General features: G+C 39.5%; 1 annotated feature.

Annotated features, from left to right (window-relative positions):
• Positions 1,002–1,221: an enhancer, noted in NCBI's record as "active region_3417". NCBI's record gives its function as "activates an Ori minimal core promoter by ATAC-STARR-seq in GM12878 lymphoblastoid cells {active_cell/tissue: GM12878}" and the evidence as "EXISTENCE:reporter gene assay evidence [ECO:0000049][PMID:35858748]".

Raw genomic sequence — 14,074 nt, 5'->3', positions numbered from 1 at the left:
AGGCTAGAGTAGGGCTGGAAACAGCATAGTTGTCTTCAAATAGCTAAAGGACTGTTTAATAGAAGAAACACTAAATGTATTATAAGCAAGCAGACACAAATAGAACTAAAGGAAAGACATTACAAGGAATCAGTTTAGCTTAATGGCAGGAAGAACTTGGTAATGGTTAAAGCTGTCTGTCTTAGTCTGTTTTCTGTTGCTTATAACAAAATACCTGAAACCGGGTAATTTATAAAGAAAAGGCATTTATTTGAACAGCAGGAAAATGGTGGATAGAAGGCAGGACTAACTTCCAGCTCCCACTCAGATGGACAGAGCAGCTTGTGGAGATGCACATTGTAAACTTTTACTCCAAGAACTACTGCAGGAACATACCCGGAAAGCCTAGAGAATCCACAGACCCTTTGAAGGAAGCAGATTGCTCCTGCAGGCCCCAGAAGATGGTTGAAAAAATGTGAGTGCCCAAAGTGTGAAAGGGGGATTGTCTGCCCTTGAACACACACCTTCACGGGGGAAACTGAAGGTCCAGATAATGGGAGAAGGATTTGATCTTACCTAGAGTTGAGACAAATTTAGAGAGCTAAGCAAAATACAAGGGTAGAAGTAGTGGGAAGAGCCCTGTGGGCTCTCTCGGTCCCCAGGGAAGCCATTTCTGACTTAGTCTCACAGAGATCCTTGGGAAGGGCTGCCAGAGGAACTGGGAAAAGACCACAGGGAGAAAGAAACTTCCAGCTGAACTTTGTAACAATTTCAACTGAACACAAATTTCCTCGATAGAAACTGGGGGAGGAGGTGAATCGGGAGTGGATACACAGCACAGAAGCCGCAGCAGGCAGGGAGGCACAAGACCTGAAAGCCCTGCTTGCTTTCTCAGCTAAAAGGCTAGTAGCCTGTGGCAAGTTCTCAGCCCTGCTCACTGGCTGCCTGGAAATAAACTCAGTGCTGTTGGTGGGGGCATGGTGGGAGTGAGACCAGCCTCTTGGGCTGCATGGGAGCTAGGTGAAGCCTGTAACTGCCAGCTTTCCCCGACTTCCCTGGTGACCTGCATGACACATCAGAGGCAGCTACAATCCCCCTGGGAACATAACTTCACTGGCCTGAGAACCACATCCCCATACCCCACAGCAGCTGCAGCAAGCCCCACCCAAGGAGAGCCTGAGCTCAGACAGGCCTAACCCTGCCCCGACCTGATGGTCTTTCTCTACCCACCCTTGTAGCCAAAGACAAAGGACATAATCTCTTCGGAGCTCTAGGGCTCCACCCACTGCCTTGATCCTCCCTATACTATGGCAACTGATGCTCCCCTGAAAGTGCCACCTCCTGGCTGGAGGCCAACAAATACAAAACTAGTGCAATAGACAAAACTACAACTAAGGACCCTCACAGAATCCATTTCACTCCCCTGCCAACTCCACCAAAACAGGTGCTGGTATCCAAGACTGAGACACCTGAAGATGGTAGACATGAAAATGGTTCACATCACAGGACTTTGGTCAGACACTCCCCAGTACCAGCCCAGAACCCAGTAGCTCCACTGAGTGGCTACATCCAGAAGAGAAATAACTGCAGTTTGGCTCTCAGGAAGCCACATCCTTAGGGGAAGGGGAGAGCACTACATCAAGGGAGCACCCCTTGGGACAAAGAATCTGAACAGCAGCTCTTGAGTCCCAGATCTTCCCTCTGACATAGTCTGTCCAAATGAGAAGGAATCAGAAAAACAGTTTTGGTAAAATGACAAAACATGTTTCTTTAACACCTCCAAAAGATCACACTAGCTCACCAGCAATGGATCCAAACCAAGAAGAAGTCTCTGAATTGCCAGAAAAAAAATTCAGAAGGTCGATTATTAAGCAAATTAAGGAGACACCAGAGAAAGATGAAGTCCAACTTAATGAAACCAAAACAATGATACAGGAAATGAAGGTGATATGGTTTGGCTGTGTCCCCACCCAAATCTCATCTTGAATTGTAGCTCCCATAATCCCTATGTGTCATGGGAGGGACACAGTGGGAGGTAATTGAATCATGGGAGCAGAGTTTTTCCCATGCTGTTCTCATGATAGTGAATAAGTCTCATGAGATCTGATGGTCTTATTAAGGGCAATTCCCCTGCACATGCTTTCTTGCAGCCATGTAAGATGTGCCTTTGCTCTTCCTTTGCCTTCTGCCATGATTGTGAGGCCTCCCCAGCCATGTGGAACTGTGAGTCCATAAAACCTCTTTTTCTTTATAAATTACCAAGTCTTGGGTATTTCTTCGTAGCAGTATGAAAATGGACTAATACAGAAGGGAAAAATCTTCGGTGAAATAGCATAAATAGAAAACAATCACAATTTTTGGAAATGAAGGACATACTTAGAGAAATGCAAAATACACTGGGAAGTCTCAGCAACAGAATCGAACAAGCAGAAGAAAGAACTTCAGAGCTCAAAAACAGGTTTTCAAATTAACCCAATCCAACAAAGACAAAGAAAATAGAATTTTTTAAAAAATGAACAAAGCCTCCAAGAAGTTTGGGACTATGTAACTAAACCTAAAAATAATTTGTGTTCCTTAGAAAGAAGAAATCTAACAAGTTTGGAAAACATATTTGAGGGAAAAATCAAGGCAAACTTTCCTAGCCTTGCCAGAGACCTAGACATCCAAATACAAGAAGCTCAAAAAAACACCTGGGAAATTTATCACAAAAAGATCATTGCCTAGGCACATAGTCATCAGGTTATCTGAAGTCAAGATGAAGGAAATAAATCTTAAGAGCTGTGAGGCAAAAACACCAGGTAACCTATAAAGGAAAACATATGAGATTAACAGCAGATTTCTCAGCAGAAACCCTACAAGCTAGAAGGGATTGGGGCCCTATCTCTAGCCTCCTTAAACAAAACAATTATCAGCTAAGAATTTTGTAACCAGTGAAACTAAGCTTCATAAATGAAGAAAAGATACAGGTTTTTTTTTAGACAAACAAATACTAAGAGAATTCACCACTATAAAGCCTGCACTACAAGAACTGCTAAAAGGAGCTCTAAATCTTGAAACAAATCCTCAAACTACACCAAAATATAACCTCCTTAAAGCATAAATCTCACAGCACCTATAAAGCAAAAACATAATAAATAAATTTTAGAAAACAAGGTATTGAGGCAACAAATAGCACAATGGATAGAATAGTATCTCACATCTCAATATTAACATTGAATGTAAATGGCCTAAATGCTCTACTTAAAAGATACAGAATGGCAGAATGGATAAGAATACACCAACTAAGTATCTGCTGTCTTCAAGAGACTCAAATAACACACAAGGACTCACATAAACTTAAGGTAAAGGGGTAGAACAAGATATTCCATGCAAATGGGCACCAAAAACAAGCAGGGGTAGCTATTCTTTTGTCAGACAAAACAAACTGTAAAGCAACAGCAGTTAAAAAAGACAAAAAGGAGCTGGACACAGTGGCTCATGCCTGTAATCCTAGCACGTTGGGAGGCTGAGGCAGGAGGATCACCTGAGGTCAGGAGTTCAAGACCAGCCTGGCCAACATGGTGAAACCCTGTCTCTGCAAAAATACAAAAATTAGCTGGTATGGTGGCATGCACCTGTAATACCAGCCACTCCGGAGGCTGAGGCAGAAGAAGCACTTGAACCCAGGAGGCAGAGTTTGCAGTGAGCCGAGATCATGCCATTGCACTCCAGCCTGGGTGACAGAGCAAGACTCTATCTCAAAACAAACAAACAAACAAACAAACAAAAAACAGACAAAAAGGGACATTATATAATGATAAAACGATTTGCCCAACAGGAAAATTTCACAGTCCTAAATATATATGTACCTAACACTGGAGCTCCCAGATTTATAAAATAATTACTACTAGACCTAAGAAATGACATAGACACAACACAATAACAGTGGGGGACTTCGATACTCCACTGACATCACTAGATAGGTCATCAAGATGGAGAGTCAACAAAGAAACGATGGGCATAAACTATACCCTAGAACAAATGGACTTAGCAGATATTTACAGAACATTCTAACCAACAACTGCAGAATATACATTCTATTCATCAGCACATGGAACATTCTCCAAGGTAGACCATATGATAGGCCACAAAACAAGTCTCAATAAATTTAAGAAAATCAAAATTATATCAAGTACTGTCTCAGATGACAGTAGAATAAAACTGGAAATCAACTCCAAAAGGAACCCTCAAAACCATGAAAATACGTGGAAATTAAATAACATGCTCCTGAATTACTGTTAACAATGAAGTCAAGAAGAACATTAAAAACTTTTTTTTAACTGAATGATAATAGTGACACAACCTATCAAAACCACTCAGATACAGCAAAGGTGGTGCTAAGAGGAAAGTTCATAGTCTTGAATGCCTACATTGAAAAGTCTGAAACAGCACAATTAGACAATCTAAGGATACACTTCAAGGAACTAGAGAAACAAGAATAAACCAAACCCAAACCCAGTGGAACAAAAGAAATAACCAAGATCTTTGCAAAACTAAACGAAATTGAATCAAACAAACAAACAAAAAAAGATAAATGAAACAAAAAGCTGGTTCTTTGGCTGGGAGCAGTGGCTCATGCCTGTAATCCTAGTACTTTGAGAGGCCAAGGTGGGTGGATCACTTGAGGTCAGGAGTTCGAAACCAGCCTGGCGAACATGGTGAAACCCTGTCTCTACTAAAAATAAAAATTAAAAAATAGCCAGGCGTGGTGGTGGGCATCTGTAATCTCAGCTACTTGAGAGGGTGAGGCAGGAGAATCACTGGAACTCAGGAGGTGGTGGTTGCAGTGAGCCAAGATCGTGCCACTGCACCCCAGCCTGGGCAACAGAGTGAGACTCCATCGCAAAAAAAAAAGAAAGAAAAAAGAAAAAAGAAAAAGCTGGTTCTTTGAAAAGATAAATAAAATTGATAGACCATTACTGAGATTAACCAAGAAAAAAAGAGAGAAGATCCAAATAAGTTCAATTAGAAACAAAATGGGAGAGATTATTAATCCAACCATTACCACAGAAATACAGATAATTCAGGGCTACTGTGAAGACTTTTATGTGCACAAACTGGAAAACTTAGAGGAGATAGATAAATTCCGCAAAATATACAGCACTCCTAGATTAAATCAGGAAGAAATGGAAACTCTGAACAGACCAATAACAAGCAGCAAGATTGAAATGGTAATTAAAAAAAAATTGCCAACAAAGAAAGTCCAGGCCCAGACTGATTCACGGCTGAATTCTATCAGACATTCAAAGAAGAATTGGTACCAATCCTATTGACACTATTCCACAAGATAGAGAAAGAAGAAATCCTCCCTAAATCACTCTATGAAGCCAGTATCACCCTCATACCAAAACCAGGAAAGGCTGTAACAAAAGAAGAAAACTACAGACCAATATCCCTGATGAATATAGATGCAAAAATCCTTAACAAAATACTAGCTAACTGAATCCAACACCATATCAAAAAGATAATCCACCATGACCAAGTGGGTTTCATACCAGGGATGCAGAGATGATTCAACATAAGCAAGTCAATAAATGTCACACACCACATAAACAGAATTAAAAACAAAAATCACATGATCATCTCAATAGACACAAAAAAGCATTTGACAAAATCCAGCATCCATTTATGATTGAAACCCTCAGCAAAATCAGCATAGATGGGACATGCCTTAATGTATTATAATAAAAGCCATCTATGACAAATCCACAGCCAACATAATACTGAATAGGGAAAAGTTGAAAGCATTCCCCCTGAGGACTGAAACAAGACAAGGATGCCCAATCTCACAATTTCTATTCAACATAGTACTGGGAGTCCTAGCCAGAGCAATCAGACAAGAGAAAAAAATAAAGGGCATCCAAATCGGTACAGAGGAAGTCAAACTGTCACTGTTTGCTGATGATATGATTGTGTACCTAGAAAACCCTAAAGACTCCTCCAAAAAAGTTCCTAGAACTGATAAAAGAATTCAGCAAAGTTTTAGGATACAAAATTAATGTAGACAAATCAGTAGCTCTGCTATACACCAACAGCCACCAAGCTGAGAATCAAATCAAGAAATCAACCTCTTTTACAAGAGCTGCAAAAAATAAAATAAAATAAAATACTTAAGAAGACACCTAACCAAGAGGGTGAAAGACTTTTACAAGGAAAACTATAAAACACTGCTGAAATCAGTCATAGATGACACAAACAAATGGAAACACACTCCATGCTCATGGATGGGTAGAATCAAAATTGTGCAATGACCATACTGACAAAAGCAATCTACAGATTCAATGCAATTCCCATCAAGATACCACCATCATTCTTCACAGAACTAGAAAAAACAATTCATATGGAACAAAAAAGAACCCACATAATGAAAGCAAGACAAAGCAAAAAGAACAAATCTGGAGGCATCACATTATCTGACTTCAACCTATACTATAAGGGCATAGTCACCAAAACAGCATGGTACTGGTATAAAAATAGGCACATAAACCAATGGCATAGAATAAAGAACCCAGAAATAAAGCCAAATACTTACATCCAACTGATCTTTGACAAAATAACTCAAACATAAAGTGGGGAAAGGACACCCTATTCAACAAAGAGTGCTGGGATAATTGGCGAGCCACATGTAGAAGAATGAAACTGGATCCTCACTTCTCACCTAATACAAAAATCAACTCAAGAGGGATCAAGTAATTAAATTTAATACCTGAAACCATAAAATTCTGGAAGATAACGTCAGAAAAAATCCTTCTGGACATTGGCTTAGGCAAAGACTTCATGACCAAGAACCCAAAGCAAATGCAACAAAAACAAAGATAAATAGATGTGACTTAATTAAACTAAAAAGCTTCTGCATGGCAAAAGAAACAATCAGCAGGGTAAACAGACAACCCACAGAGTGGGAGAAAATCTTCGCAATAAGAAAATGTTCGCAATGTATACATCCAACAAAGGACTAATATCCAGAATCTACAAGGAGCTCAAACAAATCATCAAGAAAAAAAAAAACAGTCACATCAAAAAGTGGGCTAAGGACATGGATAGACAATTCTCTAAAGAAGATATACAAATGGCCTACAAACTATATGAAAAAAATGCTCAGCATCACTACCGATCATGGAAATGCAAACCAAAATCATAATGAGATATCATCTCACACCAGTCAGAATGGCTACTAGTAAAAAGTCAAAAAATAATACACGTTGGTGTGGATGAGGTGAAAAGGGAACACCTTTACACTGCTGGTGGGAATGCAAACTAGTAAAACCATGATGGAAAACACTGTGGAGATTCCTTAAACAACTAAAAGTAGAACTACCATTTGATCCAGCAGTCCCACTACTGGGTATGTACCCAGAGGAAAAGAAGTCATTATCCAAAAAAAGATATTTGCACACACGTTTATGGTAGCACAATTTACAATTGCAAAAATATGGAACCAGCCCAAATGCCTATCAATCAATGATTGGATAAAAAAGTGATACATACACACATACACACACACACATATACATCATGGAATACTACTCAGCCATTAAAAGGAATGAAATAATGGCATTTGCAGCAACCTTGATGGAATTGTAGGCCACTATTCTAAGTGAAGTAACTCAGGAATGGAAAACCAAATGTTGTATCTTCTCACTCATAAGTGGGAGCTAAGCTATGAAGATGCAAAGGCATAAGAATAATACAATGGACTTTAGGGGCTTGGGGGAAAGGGTGGGAGGCAGTGAGGCATAAAAGATTACACACTGGGTACAGTACACACTGCTTCAGTGATGGGTGCACCAAAATCTCAGAAATCACCACTAAAGAACTTATTCTTGTAACCAAACGCGACTTGTTCCCTAAAAACCTATTGAAATTTTTTTAAATGCAAAAAAAAAAGAAAGAAAGAAAAGGAAAGAAAAGAAAAGAAAAGGCATTTATTTCTTACGGTTATGGAGGCTGAGAAGTCCCAGGTCAAGGGGCTGTATCTGGTGAGGGCCTTCTTGCTGTTGGGGACTCTGTGCAGAGTCCTGAGATGGTAAAGAACATCACATAGCAAGGGGACTGAGTGTGCTAGCTCGGGTCTCTCTTCCTCTTCTTACAAAGCTAGAAGTCCCAGTCCCGTGGTAATTCATTAACCCGTTAAACTATTAATCCAGTAATCCATAAATGGATTAATCTATTCATTAGTGCAGAGCCCTCTTGACTCAATCACCTCTTAAAGGCACCACCTCTCAATACTGCCACATTGGGGATTAATTTTTAATATGAGTTTTAGAGGGGACAAACATTCAAACCATAATACTGTCTAAAGACAGAATGGACACTTATAGGCAGGAGATAGTGTTGGTTGCTGGAGGTGTCCAATCAGATGACTTTTCATGTTTTTTCCAAGCTTAAGAATTATTACCTCTCCATTTAGTGGGTACTTATAATCAAGTTTCAGTGTTAGGGGGAACAGAGACATGAAACTTGTGAAAGATACTGATGTTTGTGACAACAGGTGAATACTAGTGTTTTCTCTTTAAGCTTTGCTCTCTATAGTTTGTTCAAACGGAGTTGTTGTGGAAGTTGCCTAAGTCAGTGACAGTCATTTTGCTTGTTAACAGATTCCACTCTGTCCTCCCCACTCTCGTATTTCTTAAAGTAAAAAATGTTAAGTGCTTACAAAAGTACCAGCACTGTGTTTAGTACTCTATATGCGTTATCTTATTATATTTTCATAACAATATTTTGAGAAACCTAATACTATCATTTTGCAGATGAAAAACAGAGATGTAATAATTTTCCTGAGCTCACATGACTAGTATGGTTAGCAGAATAATGGTCTCCAAAGATGTCCATGTCCTATTCTCAGAACCTGTGAATATGTTACCTTTGCAGATATGAAGAAGTTAAAGATTTGAGATGAGAAGACAATTCTGGATTATCTGTGAGTCAAATATAATCACAAGAGTACTTATAAGAAGAAAACAGGAGAGACAGAGCCTGAGAAGGAAGTGTAACTACTTAAAGAGTCAGAGAGAGATTTGAAGATGCTACTGGTTTAAAGATGGAGGAAGAGGCCATATCTAAGTAATGCAGGTGGCTTCTAGAAGCTGAAAAAGACAAGGAAACAGATACTCCCTTAGAACCTCCAGAAGGAACAGAGCCCTGCCAACACCTTAATTTTATCATAGAAAACTCATTTCAGACTTTTAACTCCAGAATTGAAAAGTACTAAATTTGTAGACTTAGGGTTGTCTAAGGCAGGAGGAAGGAGATTGTGATTTAGATAAAAAGGGGATAGTAAGTAAGAATTCACAAATGGTGGAAATGGTATAGGGTGAGTAAGTGGTAGGGATTCAAAGACAAACTTCACTCACTTCACAGTTTTACCTGGAGTATTAGACCCTTGGCCAATGTGGACATTTCAGCTGGAGGCATCAAAGCAACAAAACTGTTGCAAAATTTGCTAGCAACAATGAGGGGTGGCTGAACCTTTCATGGAAACATTTATTTTCACAGATTCTCATTTGTCTCAAACCAATTTAAAAGAAGTTGGCTCATGACTTGAACCACGTGTAATAAACATACTGTTCTGATTGGCTTGCCACTAGTGGGAGTTCATTTCACACTAAAACTCAATATGCACTTGGACACAACCATTGTCTCTAGTCATGCTCTTTCAGTAATGTTCCTGACTGTCTCAAATATGCTTTAGTGAATCTTCCCATTAGGCATTCTTAATCATGAAATACTGACTGCTACCACATTTGCTATGATCACTTGACAACGATGAGTGAGGCAAATCATTTATATAGTCATGAACTAGATTTACTCTTGATTGTGACCCCTACACAATCATGTTTGTTGGAAGCACCCCAAATTCTGACTAAGGAGCTTGAATCAACAAGTTAATAGTCACAAAATGGTCTTGAACCAATAGACTCAATAGCCTTGATCAAACTTTCCCTTCTTTTGGACTCAGGTAAAGGGAAAATTACCTAACTCCTTTTTTGTCCAGTAATAATTTGTGATTAGCTAAATTAACAGTTATGGTGAAAATTATCAGAAAATACCCATTATGCTTACAATAATTCACAAATCTAAAAATACCATAAATTACCCTTACAAGAACATTCACAATGAAATGAAATGAACAGACTAAGCTTGACTGAAATCGGGTTAATGGGGTTTACTCGTGGAGGGAAAAAGGTGCCTGGGGCCTAAGAGTGAAATATTATCCACACTGACCAAAAAAGTGAAAAATTATTAGAATGAGCCTGGCAGTTTGCCACATGCAATGCTCTTGCTAACTGAACTAGATATTCTAATGACCAATTTTTTTCACCAGGACAAAGAATAAAAACTAAGCCCTGGAGAAGAGATTTAGGAGTAACCAGTTCTGTAATTTGAACAAATAGTGTTCCAACGTTACCAAAAGCATTTCTGTACAAAATAGATCCCATGGCAACCAAAATCTTCAATCTAAGACGGAGGCTGTTTTTCAGCAGCTTGCACATTCTGCCCCAGTTGTAAAGGGCTGGGTGAAAAATCAAAACAGATTTATTAAGTGTCCAGTATGTGCTGGGCCCCATGCTAAACACTGCAAGGAATCCAAGATATGTATAACTCAAGGAGCTTAGGATATAGTTGCTTAAATCAGTGATGAACCTTAACATGTCATCTGTGCTAAGTGAATACAGGGACAAAACAAAATCATTGGCCAGGGACAAATCAAAGGTCACCAAGTAGGTCAATCCAAGCCAACATACATCTAGAAAGCAAGCTCAGGGCAAACTGAGGGTATGAGCCAGAGAAACATTCATTATCAACCAAACACCAATGAAATACCCACCCTCTCCCAGCACTGTGCTAGGCATCAAGGAAACACCATGAGTAGGACACAGTCTCTGCTCTTTAGGGTATGGACGGCTGGGTACAAATAATGATCGCCACATGCTTACTACACAGAGGGCATCAGATGAGGAACTCTCAGCTCCATCAAGATTGGTCAGGGAAGCCTTCCTGAAAAAGGAGAAATTGAAAGCAGATCTTGAAGGAGAAACAGGAGTTTGCCTGGTACTCAAGGGATTTTAGTGAGGTCATTCTGGGCAAAGGACATTCTGGGCAAAGGGAATAACATGTACAAGAGAGCACAGGCCAGAGGGAAACATCAAGTACCATAGTTTATTGTGTCTAGGACACATAATCTTTCACATGTTAACATTTGTAAAGTTAGGGTCTATCTTTCATTGATGACAAGTCATAGTTTAGCTGACAGTGCTCCCCCTCCCTGACCTCCCTTTGTGGAATATAAAAGAGTGGTGTGTCTTAGAAACAATAGTGCATTCGATTTGGTGAAATATGTTTATCCATTTTTGGCTTGAGCACACAGAGGCATGGTAAATGACTGGCTAGGATAACAACACACCAGAAACGCATTAGGGCTCACGCCTAAAAGAGTTTCCCTCTTTTTACTTCAAGAACTTGGGTTCCTTTGAAAGGTTTTAAGCAACCTTGTGAACCAGATCACTCCTGAGGCAGAAAGACCAGTTAGAAGGCTCATGACATACACTGTCCTGGCAAGAATTAAGAGCGCCTTCTCTAAAGGCATAGCAATGGAAATGGGGTGATAAAGTTCAAGAACTGTTTGAAAGGTTGAATCAATAGGGATTCATGACAGACTGAATGGAAAGTAAGGGAGTAAGGTTTCTGATCTAAGAGTTTGATGGGCAGAGGTATCAGTCATCAACATTGGCAATATGAAATGGAGAATGGGGCCAAGGGGAGGAAGAGGAAGCAGGGTGGGGCTGTGATGCCTGTAGGAAATATAGATAGGGATCCAAAGTTAGCATTCGCTGTGTGGGCCTGAGGGTAGAAGAAAAATCTAGAGAACCTAGAGTCTTGAGGGTCAGTGATACAATATATGAATATTAGCTGCAGCTTTTGGCATGGTTAAGTTTCTCCAGGAAGAGAATATTGGATGTATTGGATGAAAAAAGACAGTAGGCTAATGGATAAAACCCAGAGAAATCCAATCCAAAAGAAGCAGGTAGAGAGGAAAATGTAATCCTCATGCCCTTCCTGATGATCTAGGTTGCATAAACAAAAAAAAATCTGCAGACAGCATCACTTCTGGGAAATTACCCCTAGATATCTTCTTGTTTATTTTCTATCAGCTTGATTTTCCTTTCAGTCTCTTGTTTTATGAATTACTAGTTCAGTACCACAGTTTTAGTAGTAGGGTAGGATAAAAATTCAAGAAAAACAAACAAACAAAAAAACAAAAAGAACTCTTAAAGGCAATACCAAAGGCTCAGGCAGGCAGTGAAATTTAGAGGTCAAGAGCAGTTAAAACGAAAATGCCAACACACATAAGAAAGGTGAAAAGATGGCCGGGCGCGGTGGCTCACGCCTGTAATCCCAGCACTTTGGGAGGCCGAGGCAGGTGGATCATGAGGTCAGGAGATCGAGACCATCCTGGCTAACAAGGTGAAACCCCGTCTCTACTAAAAATACAAAAAATTAGCCGAGCGCGGTGGCGGGCGCCTGTAGTCCCAGCTACTCGGGAGGCTGAGGCAGGAGAATGGCGTGAACCCGGGAAGCGCAGCTTGCAGTGAGCCGAGATTGCGCCACTGCAGTCTGCAGTCCGGCCTGGGCGACAGAGCGAGACTCCGTATCAAAAAAAAAAAAAAAAAAAAAAAGTGAAAAGATGCATGAAATTTTAAAGATATGAATTTATCTAAAGATAAATTCACTTAATTTGATTCTTGAGCCCATCCTCCCTGGGAAGTTAAAAAGAGTTCTAACTTGTCTTTATTCCAGCATTACCACAACACCTATCATGTAATTGAATCAACAAACGAATTCAGCCTAGTCAATGTCCATCTTGCCTTCACTGTGCTCATTCTTTCAGTTTCCCAAGTAGCATACTCTAATGGAAAGAATAAAGAATTTACAGCCAGCAAGATCTGGTTCAAATTTTCACTTTGCCACATACTAGGTGAGTGGATTTGGGCAAATTATTCAATCACTTTTTCTCAGTGTTTCCAGTTGCAGAATGAAGAAACACTTTTCATGGTTGTTGTACAAAATGAGTGCTCAATATTTAGAGCTCGAATTCACATTAGTATTTGAACTCAAGTAAAAGTCACTTTAGAGCCCATGTTCAAATCCAAGAAGGCTATTCTCTGACCACCACTTCGGCACATAGCAGATCCCATCTTGCCCTAATTTGGTTTTAGGAAACAGCTGATTTTTCAGAGACTCTATTGCAAATGTGAGAGATAAAAGATGCATAAACTTCCCTCAAGGAATTTACTATCAAGAAATAAAATATAAAACATTAAAAAATAACTAATAAACACAGCTATATTTATCTATATATTCACAAGTCCATAAGTGCATAGAAAAAAAGCATGAAAAGACACACATCAAAACTGTAACAGTAATTCTTTCAGAGTAAAATGTGGTACTGGGAGATTTTATTATACTGTATGAATTTTACACAATGAAAATGGGTTAGAAATTAAATAAAATGAGAGATCCAAAGGAAAAAAAGAAAAGACAACTAGTAAATGGAGCAGCGTAAAGAAAAGAGTTCCCTTTAGCCAATAGTTTTCAGAAAATGTTTCACAGTTAAAGGGGGTATTTCAAATGAGGCTTCAATTTTGGGTGGTTGTTAGGTGGGCAGATAGATGGAGGAAAGGCATTCCTGGTTAGGATAACAACAAGACAAAGACAGAGGTGGGACTGCCCAGACCAGCTTAAGAGACGATGAAGACAGTAGTGTACTGGAAACACTATTTGAGTAGACAGTATAGGACATAATATTAGGATACTAAACTGATGCTAGATAATGGATGAAGTTGAATATCGGGCTAAAATATTTAGAGTGTTAGTGCCCAAACTCGCATATTCCAGGAACTTTACGAAACCTTCAGACTCTCTCCATTACAAAATTAATTTTGAATTCTAATCATATTTTAGATGGTTTCAGCTAAAACATCAGGACTAGTCGCCAAAAAGAAAAGCCCAGCCTGGGCATGTTGCCATTGTAATTCCATAGGCACTGGGGAGCCAT

This window comes from Homo sapiens, chromosome 10 (genome assembly GCF_000001405.40).
Source record: "Homo sapiens chromosome 10, GRCh38.p14 Primary Assembly".
Classification (NCBI taxonomy): Eukaryota; Metazoa; Chordata; class Mammalia; order Primates; family Hominidae; genus Homo; species Homo sapiens.
Note: the sequence above shows the minus strand (reverse complement) of the source record. Positions and strands in the feature narration are given on the sequence as shown.